The sequence below is a fragment of the Homo sapiens genome, chromosome 10 (genome assembly GCF_000001405.40).
Source record: "Homo sapiens chromosome 10, GRCh38.p14 Primary Assembly".
NCBI lineage: Eukaryota > Metazoa > Chordata > Mammalia > Primates > Hominidae > Homo > Homo sapiens.
In genome coordinates, this window is record NC_000010.11 from 1,090,373 (window position 1) to 1,115,817 (window position 25,445).

At 48.2% G+C, this 25,445-nt stretch overlaps 1 protein-coding gene across 1 annotated transcript in view, besides 7 other annotated features; it reads left to right on the forward strand.

Moving 5' to 3' along the window:
• Positions 1–25,445, forward strand: part of WDR37 (WD repeat domain 37) — a 75,988-nt gene that overhangs the window by 33,988 nt on the left and 16,555 nt on the right. Inside the window, exons 8-11 of the mRNA NM_014023.4 lie at positions 3,080–3,124; positions 5,798–5,874; positions 13,230–13,464; positions 14,754–14,895. Coding sequence (NP_054742.2) covers positions 3,080–3,124; positions 5,798–5,874; positions 13,230–13,464; positions 14,754–14,895 — 499 coding nt within the window. The remainder of the gene's footprint in view (positions 1–3,079; positions 3,125–5,797; positions 5,875–13,229; positions 13,465–14,753; positions 14,896–25,445) is intronic.
• Positions 5,266–6,465: an enhancer, noted in NCBI's record as "MED14-independent group 3 enhancer chr10:1141578-1142777 (GRCh37/hg19 assembly coordinates)". NCBI's record gives its function as "activates an origin of replication core promoter dependent on BRD2, BRD4, P300/CBP and CDK7 cofactors, and independent of MED14, by STARR-seq in HCT116 cells {active_cell/tissue: HCT116}" and the evidence as "EXISTENCE:reporter gene assay evidence [ECO:0000049][PMID:35650434]".
• Positions 11,827–12,359: an enhancer, noted in NCBI's record as "H3K27ac-H3K4me1 hESC enhancer chr10:1148139-1148671 (GRCh37/hg19 assembly coordinates)". NCBI's record gives its function as "activates a minimal SCP1, AML or CMV promoter by ChIP-STARR-seq in primed H9 embryonic stem cells {active_cell/tissue: H9 hESC(primed)}" and the evidence as "EXISTENCE:reporter gene assay evidence [ECO:0000049][PMID:30033119]".
• Positions 19,297–20,496: an enhancer, noted in NCBI's record as "MED14-independent group 3 enhancer chr10:1155609-1156808 (GRCh37/hg19 assembly coordinates)". NCBI's record gives its function as "activates an origin of replication core promoter dependent on BRD2, BRD4, P300/CBP and CDK7 cofactors, and independent of MED14, by STARR-seq in HCT116 cells {active_cell/tissue: HCT116}" and the evidence as "EXISTENCE:reporter gene assay evidence [ECO:0000049][PMID:35650434]".
• Positions 19,297–20,977: a biological region, named in NCBI's record as "MED14-independent group 3 enhancer GRCh37_chr10:1155609-1156808".
• Positions 19,814–20,396: an enhancer, noted in NCBI's record as "H3K27ac-H3K4me1 hESC enhancer chr10:1156126-1156708 (GRCh37/hg19 assembly coordinates)". NCBI's record gives its function as "activates a minimal SCP1, AML or CMV promoter by ChIP-STARR-seq in primed H9 embryonic stem cells {active_cell/tissue: H9 hESC(primed)}" and the evidence as "EXISTENCE:reporter gene assay evidence [ECO:0000049][PMID:30033119]".
• Positions 19,871–20,020: an enhancer, noted in NCBI's record as "active region_2900". NCBI's record gives its function as "activates an Ori minimal core promoter by ATAC-STARR-seq in GM12878 lymphoblastoid cells {active_cell/tissue: GM12878}" and the evidence as "EXISTENCE:reporter gene assay evidence [ECO:0000049][PMID:35858748]".
• Positions 20,397–20,977: an enhancer, noted in NCBI's record as "H3K27ac-H3K4me1 hESC enhancer chr10:1156709-1157289 (GRCh37/hg19 assembly coordinates)". NCBI's record gives its function as "activates a minimal SCP1, AML or CMV promoter by ChIP-STARR-seq in primed H9 embryonic stem cells {active_cell/tissue: H9 hESC(primed)}" and the evidence as "EXISTENCE:reporter gene assay evidence [ECO:0000049][PMID:30033119]".

Sequence of the window (25,445 nt, forward strand, 5' to 3'; positions counted from 1 at the left end):
GGTCTTGAACTCCTGACTTCAGGTGATCCAGCCGCCTCGGCCTCCCAAAATGTTGGGATTATAGGTGTGAGCCACCGTGCCCGGCCTGGAGATGTTTTGATCTCTTAAGTTGACCTAACTAAAGGGAGTGGTGGGGCTGGTGGGAGTTGAATCAGTACAACTCTACAAGGAGATGGTCTTGACCCTGAATCACACTCTGCCTCTTTCCTCTTGGGTCCTCTGAGCACAATGCCCAACAGCAGACTCCCCGCTCTGGCCCCCAGGAGAGGAAAATGGGTGAGGGTCCCAGTTTCACTGTGTCTGCGCCTCTCAGAGGCAGAGGTGACACTGGTGGCAGAGGTTGTTGTCCCCTTTGTTCTTCTCTCTTTAGATTTCAGCTTAAATTTTATGACAGTTAAATGTGCACGTGATGGAAGGAGCCAGTGCCTTTGACACTGGATGAAGGGTAGCCGTGGCTGGCATCCCCGTTTCTGCTCCCCTCGTGGCCACTGTGGATTGGGTCAGGTGCCCATGGATTCTGCTGCTGCGCCTTTAAATCATGGCTCACGTGCTGCCCCGGCCTTCCTGCTCCAGCCGGCCTGTTGACCGTCCACTATGGAAGGTGACCGGGGGTGATTGAGCTCTCTCGAGGGCCTCGTTATACAGGCGTGGTTTTCATCCTAACCCCAACATGATTCTGTGCCGATTTTGTAAGATCAGGGGTCAGTTTTCACACTATTTTGAGTGGGTGAGCAGTGCTGCGAAGCAACTGCCTCCACAGCTCCCGTCACCATGTGCCTGCCTGCCCTACCCCTCCTTCTGTGGTGTGGTGCCTTCCACCCACACCTCACAGTGGCCCAGCTTCGTTTGTGATTAGCTGAGGGTTGGGATAGACATAATAAAGTGAAAATTGATGATTGATCTTACCAAAATTTCTCATCGAAATTGGAAGCATTAATACTATTTGTTAGTGGGTCTAGTGATCGTTTGGTTTTAGCTCCATTGAGTGCTTAAGTTTATTGCTTATAAGTGTACACGGTTTCCACCAGTTTTTCCCACAGTTATCTGTATTTTAATATTAATAATGAGGCTATCTTCTAGCATTTTTCATTTAGTTCCTTAGAAAAATATAATTCTAATGGTATAGCTACCAACATTTTGTTAAGGAGATAACCTATTCAGATTTGGTCAAATTTCCTATATGTTCTACGTTAGGGACATGCATTTTCTTCACAAGGGGTGGAAATAAGGGTTGGTGTCCCCAGAGTGACAGGAGTCAGCTCTTTGCTCTGCTGACTGGTGCTGACTGATGGTAGCTCACCCCATCCCAATTCCTGTCGTTTGCTTTGGGAACATCCCAGGTGGGCAGTGTGGGCTCCAGACTAGGTCAGGCCTGTGGAGCCGGGCTCTGTGTTCAATGCTGGCATTTATGTGCGTGCTTGTGGTCTTGCTGACCACATGTCAAGCTATTCTGTCTACATTCAAGACAGGAGCAAGGGGGAAGGTGAAGTGCCAGGGTCTCCTGCTCCTTTTTCAAGAAAATGATAGGCCGGGCGCGGTGGCTCACGCCTGTAATCCTAGCACTTTGGGAGGCCGAGACGGGCGGATCACGAGGTCAGGAGATTGAGACCATCTTGGCTAACACGGTGAAACCCCGTTTCTACTAAAAATAGAAAAAATTAGCCGGGCGTGTTGGCGGGCGCCTGTGGTCCCAGCTACTTGGGAGGCTGAGGCAGGAGAATGGCATGAACCTGGGAGGCGGAGCTTGCAGTGAGCTGAGATCGCGCCACTGCACTCCAACCTGGGAGACACAGCGAGACTCCGTCTCAAAAAAAAAAAAAAAAAAAGAAAATGATAGCTTCCTCAGACCTCTGGCTGGGTGCGGTGGCTCACGCCTGTAATCCCAGCACTTTGGGAGGCCGAGGTAGGCAGGAGTTTGAGACCAGCCTGGACGACATGGCAAGACCCGGTCTCTACTAAAAATACAAAAGACCGTGTCTCTACTAAAAATACAAAAGACCCTCTTTTTTTTTGAGACGGAATCTCGCTCTGTCGCCCAGGCTGGAGTGCAGTGGCTCGCGGATCTTGGCTCACTGCAAGCTCTGCCCCCCTGGGTTCATGCCATTCTCCTGCCTCAGCCTCCCAAGTAGCTGGGACTACAGGCGCCTGCCACAGTGCCCATCTAATTTTTTGTATTTTTAGTAGAGACGGGGTTTCACCATGGTCTCGATCTCCTGACCTCGTGATCTGCCCGCCTCGGCCTCCCAAAGTGCTGGTATTACAGGCGTGAGCCAGTGCGTCTGGCCCGACCCTGTCTTTACTAAAAATGGCAAGACCCTGTCTCTACTAAAAATACAAAGAAACCCCAAACTAGTCAGGTGTGGTGGTACATTCTTGTGTCCCAGCTACTTGGGAGGCTAAGGTAGGAGGATCACCTGAGCCTTGAAGGTCAAAGCTGTAGTGAGCTGAGATCGTGCCATTGCATTCCAGCCTAGGCAACCAGAGCAAGACCCTATCTCACAAAAAAAAAAAAAAAAAAAAAAAAAAGAAGACCTCTGCCAAATACCCCTTTTGTAAGGAAAGTGGGAGGACATCATAGACTGTGTAACCCAGTCCTGATTCATTCTCTGAGGCTGGCAGAGGTTATACTCTCTGGGGTCCTGGCGTCTCTACTAGTCACAGAACAGACTGGGGTCCTTAGGCTGGGAAGGAAGGCGGATGGGGCGGGGCTTATGGTAATAAATTGTGTCTGCCACACTATAATTTGTCTTCACCCGTTGTCATAATTATGTTTTCTTTTTTTTAATCCTGATTTATTTTTAGCTAAAAATGACATCTTTGTCTATAAAAAGAACTAGATGATGAATATCCTTTTCCTGGGGTCCTAAACTATAGCGATTTGGTGGTTCATACCTTAGTTGTTTTTATTGTGCCTGTGTTCTAATTCACACATTTATTTATAACTTAACTGAGTGGAGGATCAAATATTGAACTCATAGTTCTTTTAATGTTGACTTTGAAATACACGCTATAGCTAATAAATGTTGATAACATGTTTTTGTCACTTTAAACCTGTTTTTATCATATTTTTATTTTGCAGTAAATTCTATCAAATTTCATCCCTCAGAGCAGTTGGCTCTCACTGGTATGTTGATTTTTTTCTTTATTGAACAAAATGATAGATGGTCTTAAAACAACTATAAATATTCCTTTCTTATCGTAGCAGAATAATCCATGGCTTTTATGAAAGTTAATCTTTAGTAGACATTTTATGAATTAAATGAGAAATGGATAAAGGAAAATACATTGAGCAGTACTTTCTAGAGACAGTAGTGGATAAGCAGTTGGATTTATTGTGAGATGAAGATGGCTTCACGGTCTTCTCGAAGCCTTTCCGTACAGCATCAGTATGTTTGCTGCTCCCCCCGCAGTTCCTGTAGACGGAGCTCCTTGAGGCCCTGTGGTTACCATTCTGTTCCCTTAGATTGTAGGCATCTGATATGGAGGAAAAGAGAAAAGTAGCACAGAGACACAGCAAGTTGCCAATGTCAGCATTTTTACTTCTTTCTGGGTAATTTATCTAACCCGTGGTAGCTTGGATTTGCTATAATTTCAGAGTAGTTTTAAAAACGTGCCTTCCTTGGTCGCTTTTTCGAGGGTAGCCTTACAGTACTGAGGACTTTTCCTGTGAGATTGTCAGACCCCCACAGATCCCCATGATAGCCCAGGGACATTGGTGATGATCTCGAAGGATGTGTGTAGGCTTTCAGTAGACCAGAGGTCCTTATGATTTTTCTGTAAAGGAGTAAGCAGTGAATATTTTCATCTTTGCGGGACATTCAGGCTCTGTCGCCAGTACTGAGTTCTGCTCTTGCAGCCTAAAAGCAGCGGACAGTGCACTGATGAGTGGACATGGCTGTGTCCACTTATTCACAAAAGTGGGCGGCTGTCTGGGTTTCGCCTATGGGCCAAATTGTGCTGACGCAGGAATAGAACACTGAGGTTGAGATGACTGGCCCCTTCATGCAGGTGGAGTTGTTTAAGAAGGAGCCCCAGCAACAGGTACTTCCAGTGTGTGGGATGCAGCGAGTCATGCGGTTTGGTTGGAGTTTCTATGTGAGAGAGAAATGTGGTGGGAGGGTTAGCCTGAGAGTCATTTTGAGCAGGCCCAGACCACATAGCTGACTTTCACCTTCATACGTGGATGAAGACTAAAGCAGACAAGGAGTTTACACCTTACGAAGTTGGCGGTTTGTGGGATGATTGAAAAGGGAGCAAGGAGACTGGTGGCAATTAGACGTGTCCAGATTCAAACCAAAGGGCTGGAAAAGAGGGTGGAACCAGACACATCCAGGAACTGATGAAGACTTGGAAACATGAGGTAATGGACATAGAGAGGGGAGAGTTAGACTAGGAAACATGAGGTAATGGGGATAGAGAGGAGAGTTAGACTTGGAAACGTGAGGTAATGGACATAGAGAGGGGAGAGTTAGATTAGGAAATGTGAGATAATGGGGATAGAGAGGAGAGTTACACTGGGAAACATGAGGTAATGAACATGGAGAGAGGAGAGTTAGACTTGGAAACAGGAGGTAATGGGCATAGAGAAGGGAGAGTTAGACTGAGAAACGTGAGGTGATGGGGATAGCGAGGAGGGTTAGACTGGGAAACATGAGGTAATGGGTATAGAGAGGAGAGTTAGACTGGGAAACGTGAGGTAATGGGCATGGAGAGAGGAGGGTTAGACTTGGAAACGTGAGGTAATGGGCATGGAGAGAGGAGGGTTAGACTGGGAAAGATGAGGTAATGAACATGGAGAGGGGAGAGTTAGACTGGGAAATGTGAGGTGACGAGCATGGAGAGAGGAGAGTTAGACTTGGAAACGTGAGGTAATGGGCATGGAGAGGGGAGAGTTAGACTTGGAAACTGGAGGTAATGGGCATAGAGAGGAGAGAGTTAGACTGGGAATGTGAGGTAATGGGGATAGAGAGGAGAGTTAGACTGGGAAACGTGAGGTAACAGGCATGGAGAGAGGAGAGTTAGAGGGGAAACGTGAGGTAACGGGCATGGAGAGAGGAGAGTTAGACTGGGATTGGGCATGATGTTGATTTGAGGAGGAGTTGCAAGTCCGGGCAGTACATTCATTTGCATCAAATGTGCTGCATCAGCTCAGAGCAGCTCCTTTAGAGAAGCTGGGTGGCAGTGAAGAGAAGGTGGAAGCCAGCCTGCCCGTGTGTGGGTGAGAGGTGGCCATGCTGGTGTCCGAGGCCTGTTCTGTGCCCCGCAGTGCTGTCCTTTTGTCTTTCCAATCCTCAGTCAAAGCGTTTCCTCGCAAACTGGCTGCTGAAAACAGAGTGGGACGGGAGCCGCACACATGAGCAGTGCTGATAGGTGCCTGGCCCATTGAAAGGCCGCGTGTGTGTTGAATGGATGGAGATGAGTGTCGCTTTCCCGAACGTCTCAGAGTTGATTGCAGCTGTAAGTTCTGATATGATAGGGTTTCTTAGGTTAGATAGATGGAGAGGAAAATCTACTATTTGTACATTTTCTCTGAACTTCCAGGACTTTCTATGCTAAAATGAAAGGTGAAATAGTTTTATAAGTAATCATTATTTCCTCAATTTTGGACATGTACTCTATTTTCAATAGCATTATGCAGTCTCAGAAAAGAGTTATTTAAGTAAAAAGTACATTCCTCTCACTAAGTGGTCACTAAGCTGGAAAGGTCTGACTGCTGCTGCTTAGCCATAGTGGCGGTGAAGAGCGCATTTTACCATGGTCTGTGCCTTGGGTAATTTTCCCCGATTTCTCTCTTCAGCTTCTGGAGATCAGACTGCTCATATCTGGAGATACGCGGTGCAGCTGCCGACACCCCAGCCTGTTGCTGACACTAGTGTAAGCACCTTTCCTTACCTGTGAATGTGTAGGATGCTGATGTCTGCGAATCTGAGAATCCATTTATGATATCTGTCATGGACGGAATGTTTGTGTCCCCCCAAGTTCAGTGTTGAAGGCCTCACCCCCGGTATGGTTGAATTTGGAGATTGGGCCTCTAAGGTAGTAGTTAAGGTTCAGTGAGGTTGCGTGAGGTCCTCATAAGAGGAGACAGTGGAGAGCTCACCTGTGTTCTCAATCTCTCTGTCACTCTCCGTGTCACGTAAGAGCAGAGCCAGAGGGCGGCCGTCTTTAAGGATGAGCCCGCACCAGAACCTGAATTGGCTTGATCTTGGACTTCCAGCCTCCAGCACTGTGAGAAAATAAATGTCTGTTTTTTATGCGTCGCCCGGTCTGCGGCCTTTTGTTGCGGCAGCCAGAGCCAACTGAGACAGATTTCAGTACCGCGCGCAGAGCGGGGGCTGCTGGAGAAATGCCGACGGTGTGGACCTGGCTTCGGGACCGGGAATGGGTACATGCTGCAGACGTTTTCAGGGACCTGCTGGAGAAAGCCTCCATAGCGGCGAAGAGCTTGTTGGTAGAAATACGGACATCAATGGGGACTCGGGTGAAGGCTCAGAGAGGAAAGGGGAGAGCTGGAGAGAAAGCTTCTAGCATCTCAGAGAATGCAGGTATCATAGACAGAATGTTGTGGAAAAGTGGATGTTGAAGGCCTTTCTGCTGAGGCTTAGAGGAGGCGAGGGACAGGTCACGGGGAACCGGAAGAAAGTGATCCTCATTACAAAATGGCTGAGGACTTGGCTGAGCTGAGATCCTGTGAATGAAATGTTAAAGGTGCAGCCTGGCTGCTCTCCTCGCTTACAATAAAGTGTGAAAGGACGGAGATACTCCGAAAGAGTTGTTAAGGGAAAGGGGACGAGAACTTGTAAGATTTGGGAAATTCCCAGCCTGTGTCTGTGACAAAAAAAAGAGAAAGCTGGTTCCGAAGAGCACATGCAGGGTTTGTCTGAACAGCCAGTTGACAGGGAGGCGAGTGTGGGTGGGAGCCACAGCTTTAAGCACCCACCGCAGCAGGATCCAGGACTGGAGATGGGATTATACCCAGAGACCCCGCCAGCTTGAACCAGAGGGGACATGGTGGGGACAGAATGAAGGAAGGCATCAGACTGCTGGGATTCCACAGCACAGAAACCAGAGCTGCCTGGGCGAGAACCTTTACCACCCTTCAAGATGAGGGAAGAATGCCCCGAAGGTGATTCTGAGGTTGGCAGGGCTGCAGCTCTCACTGCAGTCCCAGGACAAGAGCCTGTTTCTTCCTTGGTTTCGAAGTGTGGGAGCCTCCTTGGTTTCAGGGCCAGGTTGCCCATGGTCCAGTGCTGTGGGGGTGGGGTTGCCAGGCTGAGCCAAGGGGGTGACACCTCTGCCCCAGCATGCCTGGAGGGTGGCGCATCCAGACCAAGAGGGACTCTCTGGAGCCTGAAGAGCTCGTGGAGTTTGCCTTGTGGGGTTTTGGACTTGCTTGGGCCCCACCACCCTTTCCCTGTTGCCTCTTTCTCTCTTTTGGAAAGGGAGCGTCTGTCCAGTGCCTGCCCTACTGTTGTATTTTGGGAACATGTAACTTGTTTGGGTTCCGTGGTTTACGGCTGGAGGGGAGCTCAGCTTCAGGGTGGGCGAATCGCACTCTGAGTCCCACCCAGTCCTGATTCAGGTGATGTTTTGTTGAGACTTGGGACTTCACACCTTAGCGCTGATGCTGGAATAAGACTTCTGGGGCTGTTGGGATGGGATGACTGTATTTGCCATGCAAGAAGGATATGAATTTGGGGGAGGCCAGGGACAGGATGTTCTCAACTGAATGTCTCCGTCCCCCAGAAATCTGTGTTGAAGCCCTAACCCCCAGTGTGGCTGTATTTGGAGATGGGGCCTCTGAGAAAGTGGTTAAAGCAAAATGAGGTAGTGGAGGGGATGCCCTGATCCCATAGGATGAGTGTGTCCTTGTCAGAAGAGACACCAGACAGCTCACCCTTATGGCTGCCCTTGTGTGTGCACGCTCTCTTTCTACCCCCTCCCCATCTGTCCGTTTTTTTTTTTTTTTTTTTGAGATGGAGTCTCGCTCTGTTGCCCAGGCTGGAGTGCAGTGGCGTGATCTTGGCTCACTGCAACCTCCACCTCCCGGGTTCAAGGGATTCTCCTGCCTCAGCCTCCCGAGTAGCTGGGACCACAGATGCGTGTCACCACACCCAACTAATTTTTGTATTTTTAGTAGAGATGGGGTTTCACCACGTTCGCCAGACGGTCTCAATCTCTTGACCTCGTGATCCGCCCTCCTCGGCCTCCCAAAGTGCTGGGATTACAGGCGTGAGCCACCGTGCCCAGCCTCTCTGTGCTAATATTAATAGAAGAGCCCCTGTGGGCACGCGGCAGGATGGCGGTGCCACACACCGGAAGAGGGGACTCACCAGAAGCTGCACTGGTTGACACGTTGGTCATGGACTTAGAGTCTCCAGAACTGGAAGATGACTAATTTCTGTTTTTGAAGCCTTTTGGCCTGTAGTCTTGTGTTTTGGCAGCCTGCGTTGAATGAGACAGTGCCTAGAAAGATGCTCCTTCACCTCTGTATGCATGCATCTGCTCCATCCTTCCTTTCAACAGACAGTAAACATTTACCGTCCACTCTCTTACAGTTGATGTTTGGATCCTGTTTCTCACTGTTTCATCTGTTTAATATTAGACATCTGGTGTATCTTTCATGGACGTTTATCATCACATCAACTAATGGCCTTTATGACATCAATTTTATGTGGTTCACATTTAAACGTAGGTAACAAAAGATGTGTATTGAGAAGAATGAATTCATGTATTTATACCATAAATTCATAAAATTCTTCACTTACTGTTTGCCTTGTGCTCTCTGCAGTAGCCCAGTGCCCTATGTTTATGATCACAAAGAGGCCTGAATGTTTCTCTGAGAGCAGTTATCTCCCTAGTTTCAATGACAGGATAAATGTTAGTGGCGTGATCTTCCCACGTGCTCAGCCCCCCCAGTTCGGTGCCTGAACAGGTGGGAACAGTGCCAGGCAGACAGTGTAAATGACGTCCACGTCTAGAAGTTTCAGTTTGTATTGGGCTGTGATTGTTGCAAGGATGAAAGTAATCTAGTTTTGATATTTTCATCTTGGAATATTCCTTGAGTTTTCTGCTTTGTGAACATTCTAAACACTGTTCTATGTGGAGATAGTTAAGCAGTTAATAAATTCCAGTGATAAATGAGTTTTCTTTAGTCCTAATAGAGGTTATCATAGTTCATTTTTAACTGCATGTATTGTGTATTAACACAGTTTTGTTCTCTTTGTGGAATTGCCAGACTATTCATTATGTAGCGCATAACACTGTCCACTAACACGCACATTTAGTGATGAAACAAGTGAAATGTGTGCTGATGGTGGGCGTGGTGGAGAGGTGAGGAGGGTGAGCATTGATGCTTAGGAAATTCAGCGTGTGCACTGATGGTGTGGCGGAGACGTGAGGAGGGTGAGCATTGATGCTTAGGAAATTCAAAATGTGCACTAATGGCGGGCATGGTGGAGAGGTGAGGAGGGTGAGCATTGATGCTCAGGAAATTCAAAATGTGCGCTGATGGCGGGCGTGGTGGAGTGGTGGAGAGGTGAGGAGGGTGAGCACTGATGCTCAGGAAATTCAAAATGTGCACTGATGGTGGGCGTGGTGGAGAGGTGAGGAGGGTGAGCATTGATGCTCAGGAAATTCAAAGGAGTTAATGTATGGATTGTTTTCCAAATAAAATAAGAAAAACACTAATTTTGTGAGAGGGAAGATTCATGTCCAGTACTTACATTAAAAACACCTAATAGTTTACTTAGAATGTTCACTTAATTTTATTTTCTTCTTTACTACTTTGCTTGTGTTGGGTGAGTGCACTTCTCATATTGATAGCTGCCACCTCAAGATTTGGGGCTGGTGTTGGGGGTTCTGAGTTAAAGATGAACCTCTGTGATGTGCTGTGACTTGAGCTGTCCTGGGAGCACTGCACACACAGTTGTGTTGGGCCCTCCCTAATAAGGAGGAGGCAGTGCAGCCTGTGGACGGCCAGGTCCCTGCAGAAATGGCGTGGGAGGCTCCTTCCAGCACTACTGGATGAAATGAGGCTCCTTAGGTGGAAAGCAGTTTTGTTTTCTGAAGCTTTTGCCGGCCAGTGTTGACTCTGATTTGCTTAGCAGTTCTAATTTTCAATTTTAACACAAACTCTAATCTGTTAAAATCTGTGTTCATCTTGAATCATTATAGCTTTTGGGCAAACGTCTTGTGTTTTAAAATTTGCATCTGTGAGTTTTGCTTGACATCCACAGTGTTGATAAGGAAGCGTTTGGGTGGCGTAGTGGAAACAGACTTAGACCAACAGAATGACTGTCACATGTGAGTTAGGTTACACTGAGTTACTCGTTTAACTTCCTCAGCCTTCTTTTTCTTCTTTGAGGGGTTCACCCCGTGGCTGCTCCTGGCTCTTTGCTGTGCTCCCTCCAGAGCCGTTTTCCCAGCCACGTGCAGTGCTGTCACCCATCACCCCCTGCCTTCAAGGTGACGTACCGAGTACCCCCCTGCTGCAGCCTGTCTGGGGGCCTCTGCCAGCCTTGTGAGCCTCGGGCCCCCCGTCCCGACTGAGCTGCACGTGCCACCCTGAACTTGCTGTCTCTGGGTGTTCCTTTCCTTGTGCCACCCGTCTCAGGAAACGTCCCTGTCACCCAGTGCTTTAGACCAAACACCTTTCCACCGTCTGAACGCCTGTATTGTTCTCTTACTGCCTGTGGAAATCACCCTGTCAGCCACTCCTGCAGCAGAGGGCGCTTCAGTTCTTTCTTCCCACCCTGCTCCAGGCCGCCCTCCCTGCACTTCTCTCATCTCCTGTCCGTCTCCCCCGTTGTTTTCTGGGGCTGCCATAACAAAGTGCCACAGGCAGGGTGACTTCTGAACAACAGATCCGTGTTCTAAACAACAGATCCGTGTTCCCACAGTCCTGGAGGCTGGAAGCCCGAGATGAGGGTGTGAGCAGGGCTGGTTCCTCCTGAGGCGTCTTTCCATGGCTCATAGATGGCGTCTTCTCCTGGATCCTTCATCCCTCTGGGAGTGTCTGTGTCCTCATCTCTTCTTACAAGGATGTCAGTCCTATTGGAATAGGATCCACTCTCCTGGTCTCATTTTACCTTAATTATCTCTTTAAAGCCCCTTTCTCCAAACAGCCCCATTCTGAGGTCCTGGGGTGAGGACTTCGACACAGGAATTTGGGTCCACAGTTCTGCCCATAGCAGCCCCTTCCACTGTTCCCTCCGCAGTTTGTTCACACAGCACACACCGGGCATCACATCCTGCCGACAGCCGTCTGGTGATTTTGCATCACACGGAATAAAACCTGGTGTCCTTTCCAGTCTCCCGGGATTACAGGAGCTGTTCCCGACTTTGCCTCCCGTAGCTGTTCCGCACATGGCGGGAATGTTGTTCCTCAGCCCGGGCGAGCCTTACTTAACCTTTCCTTTCCTCACATCCGACTCACGTGCGACCTCATCAGAGAGTCCCTCCTCAGTAATTCTGTGTGAAATAGCGCCCCCATCCAGCTGCCCCTTGTCCTGTTTTATTTTACTTCATAGAAGTTACTACCACCTTACTCTGTGTCTCCATGTTGATTTGTGTTCCCGTGCTGCTCTGCATCCATGTGATATGTGTTCCCGTGCTGCCCTGGGTCCCTGTGACGTGCTTTCCCTTGCTGCTGTGCGTCCCTGTGACGTGCGTTCCCTTGCTGCTGTGCGTCCATGTGACATGTTTCCGTGCTGCCGTGCGTCCCTGTGACGTGTGTTCCCGTGCTGCTGTGCGTCCCTGTGACGTGGGAACCCTTGCTGTTGTGCGTCCCTGTGACGTGTTCTCGTGCGGCTGTGTGTCCATGTGACGTGTTGCCGTGCTGCTGTGCGTCCCTGCGACGTGCGATCCCGTGCCGCTGTGCGTCCCTGTGACGTGCGTTCCCGTGCCGCTGTGCGTCCCTGTGACGTGCGTTCCCGTGCTGCTGTGCGTCCCTGTGACGTGCATTCCCTAGTAATGTATATGTGCTCATGACGTGCCTGTGTTAGGCCATTCTTGCATTGCTATAAAAAATACTTGAGACAGGGTAATTTATAAAGAAAAGAGGTTTAATTGGCTGATTCTGCAGGCTGTACAGGAAGCGTGGCACCAGCATCTGCTTGGCTTCTGGGGAGGCTTCAGGGAGCTTGGAGCTTTCACTCACAGCAGAAGGCGAAGCGGGAGAAGGCGTCATGTGATGGAAACAGGAGTAAGGCGGGGGCGGGGGGTGCCCCACATCCAAGCAGCCAGATCTCTTGAGAGCTCACCCACTATTGTGAGGTCAGCATCAGGCTATGAGGAATCCTCCCCCATGAGCCAGACACCCCCACCAGGCCCGGCCTCCAACACAGGGGATTCCAGTTCAGCATGAGATTTGGGCTGGGACAAATTTCCAAATTATCAGTTCCAGTACTAGTACTTGTGTATATATGACATACCTCTCCATACTAACGGGTGTGTGTGTGTGTGGTCTCTCTCTTTTGCTAGAACAGAAGTTCTCTGAGGGCAGGGGCTTTACCAGGGGTCCTCACTCCAGAGTTCCTACCTGCTAGATTGAGCGTAGTTTTGCATGTGTGCATGTCAGAAGCCGTCTGTCCTCTTCTGCATTGTGTAAGCAGCACCTGGGCTGGGGGTGGGGACTGGCACTCTGTCACCCCCTGATAAATATTTGTTGGATGAATATACAGATTTTCTTACAGAGCTGGCTGTAATGTGTTTGTTTTAGCCTTGGCCTTTGACAGGGGGCTTGATGTTACAAAGGAAAATAGACTCTTATGACTATAGCAATAGAATTCCAAGTATATTTTAAATAGGCTCTTGAGAATGAAAATGCCTTTTTGTAATGTGATAAATTACTGACTTTCATTTGTATTTGGTTAGTTTTATATTGCATTTCTACTAGTAACTGATGAAAGCTTAAATGTTGAAAATCATTTTATTTGCCATTCTGTTGATGCGTGGAAATAAATGGTAGTTCGGTTGACAATGTTGTGGATTCCACTTTTTTTTCTGTACGAGATGGTCGTAGAGTTGATGGGTGTTCACGGGCAGCAGTTATGGGTCAGAGGAGGACATACTCATCACTGTGGCCAGCACCAGGCTCCTAGTGGTGACCATCATGATGGATATGTCCTCAAGAGATTAATGAGAACCATCTATTTTGTAGCTATGTCAGAAGAAACTCAAGATTTCCAGGAAATGTCTTTCTTTTCTGGCCTTCCCTTTGGCAGCAGATATCTGGGGAAGATGAAGTAGAGTGCTCTGACAAGGACGAGCCCGACCTCGATGGGGATGTGTCCAGCGACTGCCCCACCATCCGCGTCCCACTGACATCCCTCAAGAGCCACCAGGGCGTGGTCATCGCCTCCGACTGGCTGGTTGGGGGGAAGCAGGCTGTGACTGCCTCCTGGGACCGGACGGCAAACCTGTACGACGTGGAGACGTCCGAGCTCGTTCACTCTCTGACAGGTGCCTGGGTTCTCTGAGTCCGCCGCCTCCTGGCTGTGCATGTTAGTTTATGTCCATGGGTTATGTCTGACCTTGCCACTTACTTCTTGACCAGAATGAGTCTCTGTGTTCTTGGCTCTTCTGTGGTAATTTTTGGAGATTCTTTCTATTAATAATAGAACTATTGGTAGCTAAATTTATTTTGTCTTCAGGGGTTTTAAATTGTAGCATGTAGTATCTAGATATTGGACATATGGTAGTTGTATTAGTTTTCCATTGCTCTGTAACAAATTTCCACAATCTTAGTGTCTTAAAACGACAGGAATTGACGGCCTCATGGTTTCCCAGGTCAGTAATTCTGGGCCCGTGGTAGCTGCTCTTCTCCCTGGGCCCTCAAAGACCTAAGTGAGGGTGCTGCCTGGTCAGGACCTCCCCAAGGCTGCGGTCCTCTTCCAAGCCTGCTGGTCATTGGAGGAGCTCCTTCTTGCGTCTGGAGTTTGAGGCCCTGTCTTCTTGCCAGCTGCCAGCCGGGGCTCCTCTGGGCGTGCAGAGGCTGTGTCTGGCCCTGGGGCCCCTGCACAGGGCTTGCCTTTCCCACACAGCAGCCGCTTTCCTCTGCAGCTGGAGCTCCCCTGCTGCTCTGAACTCTCCAACTTCTGGGACCCTTTTTAAGGGCTAGGCCAGACCACCCAGGACAATATTCCCTTTGATGAAGTCAAAGTCAACTCATTTAGGGACCTTAATTACATCTGCAAAATCCTTTTTGCCTTATAATGTATCATAATTACCAGAAAGATAATCTCATCCTATTTACAGGCTCTGCCCTAACTGAAGGGAAGGGTGTTAGGCATGTACGGGGTGGGGGTGGCTTGGGGCCATCTTGGGATGCTGCCTGCTGAAGTTGCTTCTGCGAATCTATCTCTAAGTGCATTTCCTGCATGAGCGTTAAAGATTGTATTTGACTGAGGACCCATAGCGTTGTATCATTAGAAGGTATTCTAAGCAAAGAATCAAGATTTAAGTGGTTCTCACATTCAACCTGTTAATTTGCCTGACCTTCTAACTGGTAGGGTCAGAAAATGGGTTATGCACCTGTTTGGTTTTCTGTTCCTTTGACATGGACGGCTGAAAGGACTTCAGCTTCTGAGGGAAAACCTGCCCCACTGTGACCCACATGCTGCTGAGTGATTCCATTAGGTCAGGTTCACAGTCTCAGAGAGACGGCTTCTTGGGTTCTTGTGCTGTTGAAAAGCGTCTCTCTCAGCGTGCTCCTCAGGTGATGACCTTGTGTTTTGCCATCTTGGTTACAGGGCACGACCAGGAGTTGACGCACTGCTGCACACACCCCACCCAGCGGCTCGTGGTGACCTCCTCCCGTGACACGACTTTCCGCCTCTGGGATTTCAGGGACCCCTCCATCCACTCGGTGAATGTTTTCCAGGGACACACGGAGTGAGTTGCGGTAGTTTAGACATCTGTCCTTAGTCATGAAAAAGTTCTGTGGGTTGACATGAAAACTTAATTCTAGCCTTAATTTTCAGTATTTCCGACTCTACTATCTTTCAAAAAAATAACTACCTTTCAAATTCTGCTATTCTTTTTCTAAACATTTAGCTCCATTTTGGCTATTTCAAAGGATGTAGGAGATTAAGAGAAGGCACCCTCCGAAGTTCTCTCAAGAAGTTTAATGCAGACAGAATGGGGGAGTGGGTGGAGAGGGTTAGAGAAGAGCAGGGCTGCCAGAGCCTGTAGCTGAGCACAGGGGCCGGCCACGCCACCATAGGAGCCGCGGGAGCTGTTACTCCTACCCACGGGGTGTCTCCTGGATCTTTTCCATCTAGTTTTTGTTATTACACGTGTCTGCGTGGTATATTCTGGGAGAAGGTATACACATAGACGCGCAAACACAGACATAGACCCTCAATCCAGTGTGTCCCTCTCTGCTTGGGTTTCTCTCCGGCAACTCAAGTGTAAGGTCTTTTTTTTCTGAGACGGAGTCTCGCTCTGTCGCCCAGGCTGGAGTGCAGTGGCGCTATCTCGGCTCACTGCAAGCTCCGCCTCCCGGGTTCACGCCATTCTCCTGCCTCAGCCTCCCGAGTAGCTGGGACTAGAGGCACCTGCCACCACGCCTGGCTAGTTTTTTGTATTTTTAGTAGAGATGGGGTTTCACCGTGATAGCCAGGATGGTCTCGATCTCCTGACGTCGTGATCCGCCTGTCTCGGCCTCCCAAAGTGCTGGGATTACAGGCGTGAGCCACCGCGCCCAGCCGTGTAAGGTCTTAACAGAACTCTTCAGTTCTTTCCGTGACCGTCTCCTTCCCCCAGTCTGGCCCTGCTCAGTCAATGATGAGACCGTCTGCCCAGTCACGGGGGCTGTCTACCTAGAGTGTTCCCTGGTTCTTCTCTTTTAATCTCTGTTCCCCGTTCCCCCATCATGCCCCACTGTGGTCCACTGGCAAGTCTCCTGCCAGCCATGCCTGTGGGATCTTCCCGGCCGCTCCTCGCTCCTCCATGCTCCCCCTACCTCCCACCAGTGCTGCTCTCCACCCCGACGTCTGGATAAGCAGTGTGCATTGAAAGGTTTATAAATGAACTCCAAATATGAAAATCTGTTTTATATGTTTAACGTTAGTTACTAAGTTTTAGATTTAATGTTCAAAATGTTAGTAAGATGTTGGAAAGGAAAATAGGACTTTTTGTTTGTTTGTTTGTTTGTTAATAGACGGAGTCTCTTTCTGTCGCCCGGGCTGGAGTGCAGTGGTATGATCTCGGCTCACTGCAGCCTCTGCCTCCCGGGTTCAAGCGATTCTCCTGCCTCAGCCTCCCTAGTAGCTGGGATTACAGGCGCCCACCACCATGCCTGGTTAATTTTTGTATTTTTAGTAGAGGTGGGGTTTCACCATGTTGGTTGGGCTGGTCTTGAACTCCTAACCTCAGGTGATCCGCCTGCCTCAGCCTACCAAAGTGCTGGGATTATAGGTGTGAGCCATCGCGTCTGGCCAGGACAACGTTTTTAAAAAGAAGCTTGAGATTGGAAAGCTAATTCCTTGACTCTGAGGCTGGAACGGGAGCAGGCAGCAGTCACGACCATGCGTAGAGATCTTTATGGCAGCCTGGGTCTGTTCTGGGGGCATCACACGCATTAAACTGCTCCGTCCTGACATCAGGTCAGCGTTTATTCTGCCAGCTCCGTCAGCGATAGCCATAGTAATACAGACCTCCCGGTGGTCAGTGGCTGAACGCAGCACTGTGTTGTTGCTGCATCAGGGTGCAGCAGGCGCTGAGCTGGGCCCCCATGAGCTCCGCCACATGGGCCTGACCCCGCTGCAGGCCAGCTCATTGGTGAGGAAGATGCTGCAGCTCGGGGAGCGCTGCTTCCCATGCATGTTAGCTTGGATGTGGTGCTCCCCGACGTCCACCAGATGCAGAGGGGCCCCACAGCAAAGCCCTGGCTGGACCTGGGCCCACCACCTGGCACCACTGTGTAGGGCGGGGCAGAGGGGCCCGCATGACTGCCCTGCTGTTTCTCATGAGAATTCATTGGAAGGGCAGTCGGAGGCCTAGAGGACGGGAGGAGCAAGATGGTCTCACTCCTGCGCCTGCAGTGCTTTCCTAAGCTTTTTGCTTAGAAAAGTTTCAAGCCTACATAAAAACCAACAGAGTAGTACAGTGTACCCACAAACCCTTCACCTAGGTTCGCCTGTTGTATTGCAGCACTGCTGTCTCTTTACACATGTGTACACACCTCTCTCTGAAACACACGCCCACTAACCCTTCACCTAGGTTCACCTGTTGTATTGCAGCACCGCTGTCTCTTTACACATGTGTACACACCTCTCTCTGAAACACACGCCCACTAACCCTTCACCTAGGTTCACCTGTTGTATTGCGGCACTGCTGTCTCTCTTTACACATGTGTACACACCACTGTCTGTAACACACAACACGCACTACCCTGTCACCTAGGTTCGCCTGTTGTATTGCAGCACTGCTGTCTCTCTTTACACATGTGTACACGCCTCTCTCTGAAACACACGCCCACTTCCCCTTCACCTAGGTTTGCCTGTTGTTGTATTGCAGCACTGCTGTCTCTATTTACACATGTGTACACACCTGTCTGTAACAGACACGCCCACTTATCCTTCACCTAGGTTCACCTGTTGTTGTATTGCAGCACTGCTGTCTCTGTAGATGTGTACACACCTCTGTCTATAACACACACTTGTATATTTTCTTTGGCTGAGCCCTTTGAAAGGAAAACTCCAGCATGCATTTTCTAAGAATAAGGATGTTCTCCTAATACAGTACCATTGTTCAAATAAGAAAATTAGTAAAAATTCTATGGCATCCTTTATCTGGTCCACATTTAAATTTACTCAGTTCTCCCCAAAATGTCTTTGATACTTTTTTTAGAGCTAGGATTTAATCAGGATTCTCTCATCACATTTAGATATTATGTCCTTTGGCTTCTTTTAATCTAGAATGGTCCTTCCCCCATTTTTTGTTACTTTTTAGGATATTGAGTTTTTTGGTGAAGAATCCAAGCCTGCTCTTTTGCAGAACGCCCCTCATTCTGCATTTTTCTTATGACTTCCTTTAAGTGCCCCTCTGCTGTGCTATTGGTGTGCTGAAGCGCTCCTGCAGTTAAGATGGCGTCTGCAGGTCTGCCTGCCAGAGGTGCTCTCCTGTTTCAAATAGCGAAGCGACACTATTCTATGGATGTTAATTCCCCAGTGACCTTTCCTCGGTCCAGGGCTTCAGCTCATTGTTACGCTGAGTCCTGCAGAAGGGGATCTTTGTACTTCTGTCTACACTGGTTAGTTGGCACTGTGTTTTTTGAGTATTAGCGAGCATAGACACCTGCACTTTGTTGGTGTTGGTGGTTGTGATCCCTGTGGTTGCTTTGGTTTTGGCTTCTGTGATGCCCCCCCCCCCCGTGGAACCTGCAGGGCCCTGAGTGCCACCATCCTGGCACAGCTCCCTGCCCCAGGCTGGGAAGACCCAGCAGCTCTCACTGCATTGACTCTGGTCATCTGTATGGAGCACAAAAATCTGTCAGAGCTTTGAGAATTGGGTGAAGAGGGTAGTTTTGTGTCTAGAGAGCAGGGCAGCTTCCTATGTGCTTCTGATATGGGGGTTGCAGGGATAGGCCAGTGTGCCCTGCTGTGCCTGTCCCCTTTGAGGGCAGGATGGAAAGGCCGAAGAATTCTGTCCAGAGGAGGACGCAGTGGAGCCAGGGCTTGGTGAGTTGCTGGTTTGTGCCAGGCACTGTTGGAGCCCCTGGCATCACCCCAGTTCAGAGAGAGAAACTGAGGCATGAGGAGGCCAGGTGGTTTGCTGAGGGTTTGGCTCTAGGGGGTCATTCCAGAGCAGTCCCTCCTGGTGCCTTCAAGGTGCCTCTTGTGTTATTTAAGACCCTTCTAGTCCTGTATTGTCTCTGTTCAGTTGCCATATTTAACTGGAAGATTTTATTTTTGTTTTGTGTAAAAAGAAAAGTTTTTGTATTTATATCACCAGAGTTGATTGCAAGTGCATGTTTTCGCTTCTAAGGCTGTTGCAACCGTGTGGTCTTGGCCATTTGACTGTGAAGTGAAGTCAGTGCTGGTGGCATCTTTAAAATATCTGCTTAGGCTGGGCGCGGTGGCTCACGCCTGTAATCCCAGCACTTTGGGGATCACCTGAGGCTGGGAGTTTGAGACCAGCTTGACCAACATGGAGAAACTCTGTCTTTACTAAAAATACAAAATTAGCCAGGTGTGGTGGCGCACGCCTGTAATCCCAGCTACTTGGGAGGCTGAGGCAGGAGAATCGCTTGAACTTGGGAGGTGGAGGTTGCGGTGAGCCGAGATCACGCCGTTGCACTCCAGCCTGGGCAATGAGCGAAACTCCAAACTCCGTCTCAGAAAAAAAAAAATTCTGGTTAATTTGTGGTACATTTTTGCAGCTAGTGGATACATGAAACAATGGTAGTTTTTTAGAGAGCTGTACTTATGAAGAATGTAGTAAGTGTTATGAAAAAGTTCTTACTAATGTGGACCTATGAATACAGTTTCCTAGGGTTTATGTCTTCCTATTGGAATCAGGTGTGGGGGTAGAGTAAGGTGGAGTGTGTAATTCCCGTGTGCCCTTTCTCCCACATGGGTCTTCCAGGCTGTAGGCTGTGCTTCCATTCACCTGAACCACGGGGGTGAGGTGAACGTGGACCAGACCTGCCCGGGCCATGCTTACTCAGATCGTTTACGCTTTCTTTTTTCTTACTCAAATTATCATGAACTAGCGTATCTTGTTGATGTGTACATCCAAAAATACGTTTTGAAAAGATCTCTCTTTGGCGCTAATTTTGTTGCTGTGTCGGGGCGAGTCCGCTGGGCTGTTGGACATTGAGCTTCCCCTCACCGGCCTGGCGGTTTCTCAGCTGTGCGCATGCAGGATGAGGGCTTGGTCAGCAGGTGGAGCCGTGGACGCCTTTATTGAACACAAACTCTTCCTTCCTGACATCAGATCAGCTGTAAACCTTTAGACGTGCCTCATAATGAGAAAAGCAGGAAATGAGTCATTTTACAAAAATGTTTCATCTGAGGTGTCTTCTTAGTAACACTTGCCTTTGTCTCCGGCATGGGTTTTGTAGGTTCGAGCCAATACGACAAATAAAACCTACAGAGTGCGTGATCCTTACAAATGTGTAGAGCTGTGCATCCGCGCCACAGCACACCAGGGTGAGGGCCTCGCAGTGCGGTTTAGGTCCTGAGATGTGCGTCCGCGCCCCAGCACACCTGGGTGAGGTCCGGGGTGCGGGTTTAGTTCCTGAGAGGAATGGCCAGGTTGTGTGTGTGTGTTCCGTTTGGTCACTTGTCTGGGACGTTCTGAACATGACTTGTAAGAGCACACCCTGGGTCCCCTGCCTTCCCTGCCACCATGTCATTCTGAGGGACCCTCTGCGCCGGGGGCTTCTCTGCAGTGGCCACGGCATCGCCAAGGACATCCGTGAGCCTCCGATGGGTGTCCAGCGTGTTAGCGCCCAGACCCACAGGGCCTGGCACCCTGATAGGTGGGAATGTTGGCCCAGGGCCGGGCCTGAGGCCTGCAGGACTGCCTGCTCATCCGGGAAGTAGCTCTGCCGGTTTTACAGGGTGATCCTGAGTTCTTTTCACTAGTTCTTTTCCTGAGCATTGAAAGCAAAAGTCAGACATGTGTTCTTAGGAAGTTTGCTGTTCTTGTTGATGTAGGCTGGAAAGTTATATGCATGGTGTTTTTAGTGATACCCCTTAAACAGAGGCAGTATTTCTTCAACATGTGTGACTAAAAATACCCTTTCTCACATAATTTATATTAACATGATGTGGAATGTGCTTTTCAAAGTTTTATCTTAGGGCGTATTTTCACTTGTAGGAACTAAGCGTAAATTCTTTAGTATAGTATGTTGGAATCTAATGTCTTTTATAATGTAAATAATTAACTGTCTAGTTAAGGTGAATTGCTGTATATTGGGTTTTCTTAAGGCAAGAAGTAGCTCTAAAGGCTTAAGGTAACTGGCCCAGTTTTGTGATCCAGTTTCCAGGAGAGATTTTTCCCCACTTTCTTTTTTTTCTTACTGTAATCCCCATACTTTTACTTGCATTCTGTGCCTTTTTGAAAGACTGGAGTTTGAGTTCCAATGCTTCACTGTAAGAAAGAAAAGTGTAGCGAAATGGGTCCCCTGAAACGTGTGGTCATTACCTTTGCTGGATGGGGATGGAGCTCCGTGCTGTGAGCTGCTGAAGGCTTTGATCCTACGTGTTTAGAAGGACCAGTCACCTTTTCCTTTTGATGTGTCTTATTTCTTTCCACTCTGTGTTGTGGCATCTCTGTATTATAGCAGGAATTTTACCATGATAGTACTTAGTTGGCGTAACTGTGTGGCTGTTTTTATTTGACTGTTTGTTAGTGACCCAGCGTGTACTGATTTATATGAAAAGCAATTTTAGATACTTCATATAGCAGAAATGTGAAGTTGTAGTATGTGTTGTTATTAGAAATAATAAAAAGGCTTAATTTGAAAATTTCAGTGTGTCACAGGAATTCAGCTGTTGGTGGCTATTTCTCTCTCTCTCTTTTTTTTTTTTGTGAGACGGAGTCTCGCTCTGTTGCCCAGGCTGGAGTGCAGTGGTGCAATCTCGGCTCACTGCAACCTCCACCTCCTGGGTTCAAGCGATTCCCCTGCCTCAGCCTCCCAAGTAGCTGGGACTGCAGGCACGTGCCTTGGTGGCTATTTCTTACACCTTGTTTGATTGCACTCCGTAGATTGATGTTTTTTGCAAATGAAGGTCTGTGGAGCCCAGCCCTGGCTGAGCAGGTCTGTTGGTGCCAGTTTTCCAACAGCACGTGCTCACTTCCTGCCTCTCTCTCACATTTTGGTCATTCTCACAATACTTCTTACTTTTTCATTGTGATTATATGAGGGTGGTCAGTGACTTTTGCTGTAACTGTTATAATTGGTTTTGAGGCCCTGGGAACCTTGCCCATAGAAGACAGTGAACTTAGTCGATAAATCGTGTGTGTTCCGACTGCCCCACTAACTGGCCGTTCCTTCGTCTCTCACCTTCTCCTAATGCCTCTGACTTCATGAGTGAGACACAACACTGTTGAAATTAGGCCAATTAACATCCCTATAGCAGCCTCTCAGTGTTGAAATGAAGAGTTGCGTGTCCCTCACTTGAAAGCTGGAAATGACGAAGCTTAGTGAGGAAGATGTGTCGAAGGCAGAGAGGCTGAAAGCTGGGCATCCTGCACTGGACAGCCAGGTTCTGAATGCAAAGGAAAAGTTCTGGAAGGAAAGTAAAACTGCTACTCCAGTGAACACACGAATGATAAGAACACAATCCTAATGCTGATATGAAGGAACTTTGAGTGGTCTGCATTGATTAAACCAGCCACAACATTCCCTTTAGCCAAAGCCTAATCCAGAGCAGGGCCCTGACTCTTCAATTCTGTGAGGGCTTAGAAAGGTGAGGGAGCTGCGGAAGAAAAGCTGGAAGCTGGCAGAGGTTGGTTTATGAGGTTTAAGGAAGGAAGCCGTCTCCATAACATGAGAGTGCAAGGTGAAGCAGCAAGTGCTGATGGAGAAGCTGCAGCAAGTTCTCCAGAAGATCCAGCTGGGATCATCGATGAAGATGACTATGTTTAATAACAGATTTTCAGTGTAGACAAAACAGCCTTCTGTTAAAGAAGATGCCACGTAGAACTTTCCTAGCTAGAGAAGAGAAGTCACTGCCTGGCTTCGAAGGACAGACTGATGCTCTTGTGAGGGGCTAGTACAGCTGGTGACTTACAGTTGAAGCCAGTGCTCATTTACCATTCTGAAAATCCTAGGGCCCTTAAGAATTATGTGAAACCTACTCTGCCTGTGCTCTATAAATGGATCACCAAAGGCTGGATGAGAGCACATCTGTTTACACCATGGTTTCTGAATATTTTGAGCCTATTGTTGAGGCTACTGCTCAGGAAAAAACTTTTTTTTCAAAATTGTCCTGCTTATTGACAGTGCACCTAAGGGCTCTGACGGAGATGTACAAGGAGATGAATGGTGTTTTCATGCCTGGTAACACAACCCCCATTCTGCAGCCCATGGTTCAAGGAGTCATTTTGACTTTTGAGTCTTATTATTTAAAAAATACACTTTGTAAGGCTATAGCTGCCATAGATAGTGATTCCTCTGATGGACCTTGGCAACGTCAATTGAGCACCTTCTGGAAAGGATTTATCATTCTGGTCGCCATTCAGAACACTTGTGATTCATGGGAGAAGGTCAAAATGTCACAGGAATTTGAGAGACGTTGAGGGGTTCAAGGCTTCAATGGAGAAAGTCACTGCAGGTGTGGTGGAAACAGGAAGATAACTAGGATTAGAAGTGGATCCTGAAGATGGGACTGAATTGCTACAATCTCACAATAAATTTGAATGGACGAGGAACTGCTTCTTATGGATGAGCAAAGAAAGTGGTTTCTTGAGTGGGAAGGTACTCTTGGTGAAGATGCTGTGAACATTGTTTAAATGACAGCAAAGGATTTTGAATATTCCATAAACTTCAGTGGTAAAGCAGTGGTAGGGTTTGAGAGGACTGACTCCAGTTTTGAGGTTCAATTGTGGGTAAAATGCCTTTTTTTTTTTTTTTTTTTTTTTAAGATGGGAGTCTTGCCCTGTTGCCTAGGCTATAGTGCAGTGGTGCTATCTTGGCTCACTGCAACCTCCGCCTCCCAGGTTCAAACAATTCTTCTGCCTCAGCCTCCCGAGTAGCTGGGATTACAGGCACCTGCCACCATGCCTGGCTAATTTTTACATTTTTAGTAGAGACAGGGTTTCACCACATCGGCCAAGCTGGTCTCAAACTGCTAACCTCAAATGATCCACCTGCCTTGGCCTCCCAAAGTGCTGGGATTACAGGCGTGAGCCACCATGCCTGGCCCCAGTAAAATGCTTTTAAACAGCATCACATGCGGTAGAGAAATCTTTTGTAAAAGGAGAAATCAATTGCTATAGCAGACTCCATTGCTGTCCTATTTTAAGAAATTGCCCCAGCCTTCAGCAGCCACCACCCTTATCAGTCAGCAGCCATCAGCATCGAGGCAGGACCCTCCACCAGCAAAAAGATTATGACTTACCAAAGGCTCAGATGACTGTTAGTGTTTTTTAGTGGTAAAATTTATCTTACTTAAGAAATGCACATTGCGTTTTTAGAGGTAATGCGGTTGCTCACTTAACAGACTACAGGATGGTGTGGCTATGGCTTCTGTATGCACCGGAAAACCAGACAGCTCTTGTGATCCGCCTTACTGCGATCTTCACCTCACAGCGTGTTCTGGAATGAACGGAACCCGCAGAAGCTCCGAGATTGCCTGTGTTTGTCCTAACCACCAGGAGCTGCAGCTGGAAGTCAGTGCTTTTCACCTGAACTAAGTTCTTTTCTGTTCGTGTGTTTTTCACCCGGCAGTGTAATTCCATAAGTCTGGCCCTCTCCTGGCTGCTGCATTCCCTTGCACACACCCAGGGGGCTGAACCCACACGCAGGCCATTCCAGCGTGGGCCCTCACTGTGCAGACCGTGGGTGAATAGACGTGCCTGCAAGAGGCTTTTGCTGTCATGACATTTGCCTGTTTAGATCTCAGCCTCAGCCCTCAGACCTCCCTCAGCACACCCCAATCCCGTAGAGTTTTCCTCCCCTCCCCATCTCCCTTTTTTGTTTTTTTTTTTTTGTTGTTGTTATTTTGGTTGCTATAAAAAGGAGCTGACAGGCGAGGTGTCACTGGCCATTAAGCCTCCTCTGTGGGTGGCAGGTGGCTCTGCCTTGTGCCGGGCTGGCAGTGTTTGCAATGCGGATAAACTTTAGCATTGAAAAAAACAGGAGATCATCTCAACATGGATGCAATATTTGAGGATGCAAAGTTTTTTGTTTTCTTCCTTTTTAATTCTTTGCAAACGATTTTAACTTTATTCCCAAAATGTGGTCTTTGGTGCTTTCTTCTAAAGAAAACAAAACACACATCTAACCAAACAAAATTTTAAAAGATCAGTTGAGAAATTATAATGATCACTTTGAAGTGATGACATGTTTGTGTGCTTTTATTTCCAAACACCTGGGGGAGAGATTTGGTACTAAACACTGAGTTCTAGATCATGTGCTCAGAAAGGTAAACACAGTTTTGCAGCTTGTGTCATGGTGTTAACAGTTTTCCTTATGCTTTTAAAGGGAAAAGATGTTTGGAAATCGACATTTTTAACTGGATGATGGGCAGTTTTAATTGCACCTGAACTTTGTGCTTGGTCACAGTCAGCATGCAGGTGTCAGCTTGGGTGTGGGCCTCTGGGTGCTGTCCGGCCAGCTGGCCGCCTGGGAGGTGCGTGTTGGAAAGGACGCATGTGGTCTCTAAATCAGTTTGCTTTCCACTTTCAGATCTGCTTTCTTTTTGGTGATGGCTTTTGAGTCCTTGTCTGTGGGGAAGGTGGAGAGCCAGCCATCTACCAGGTGG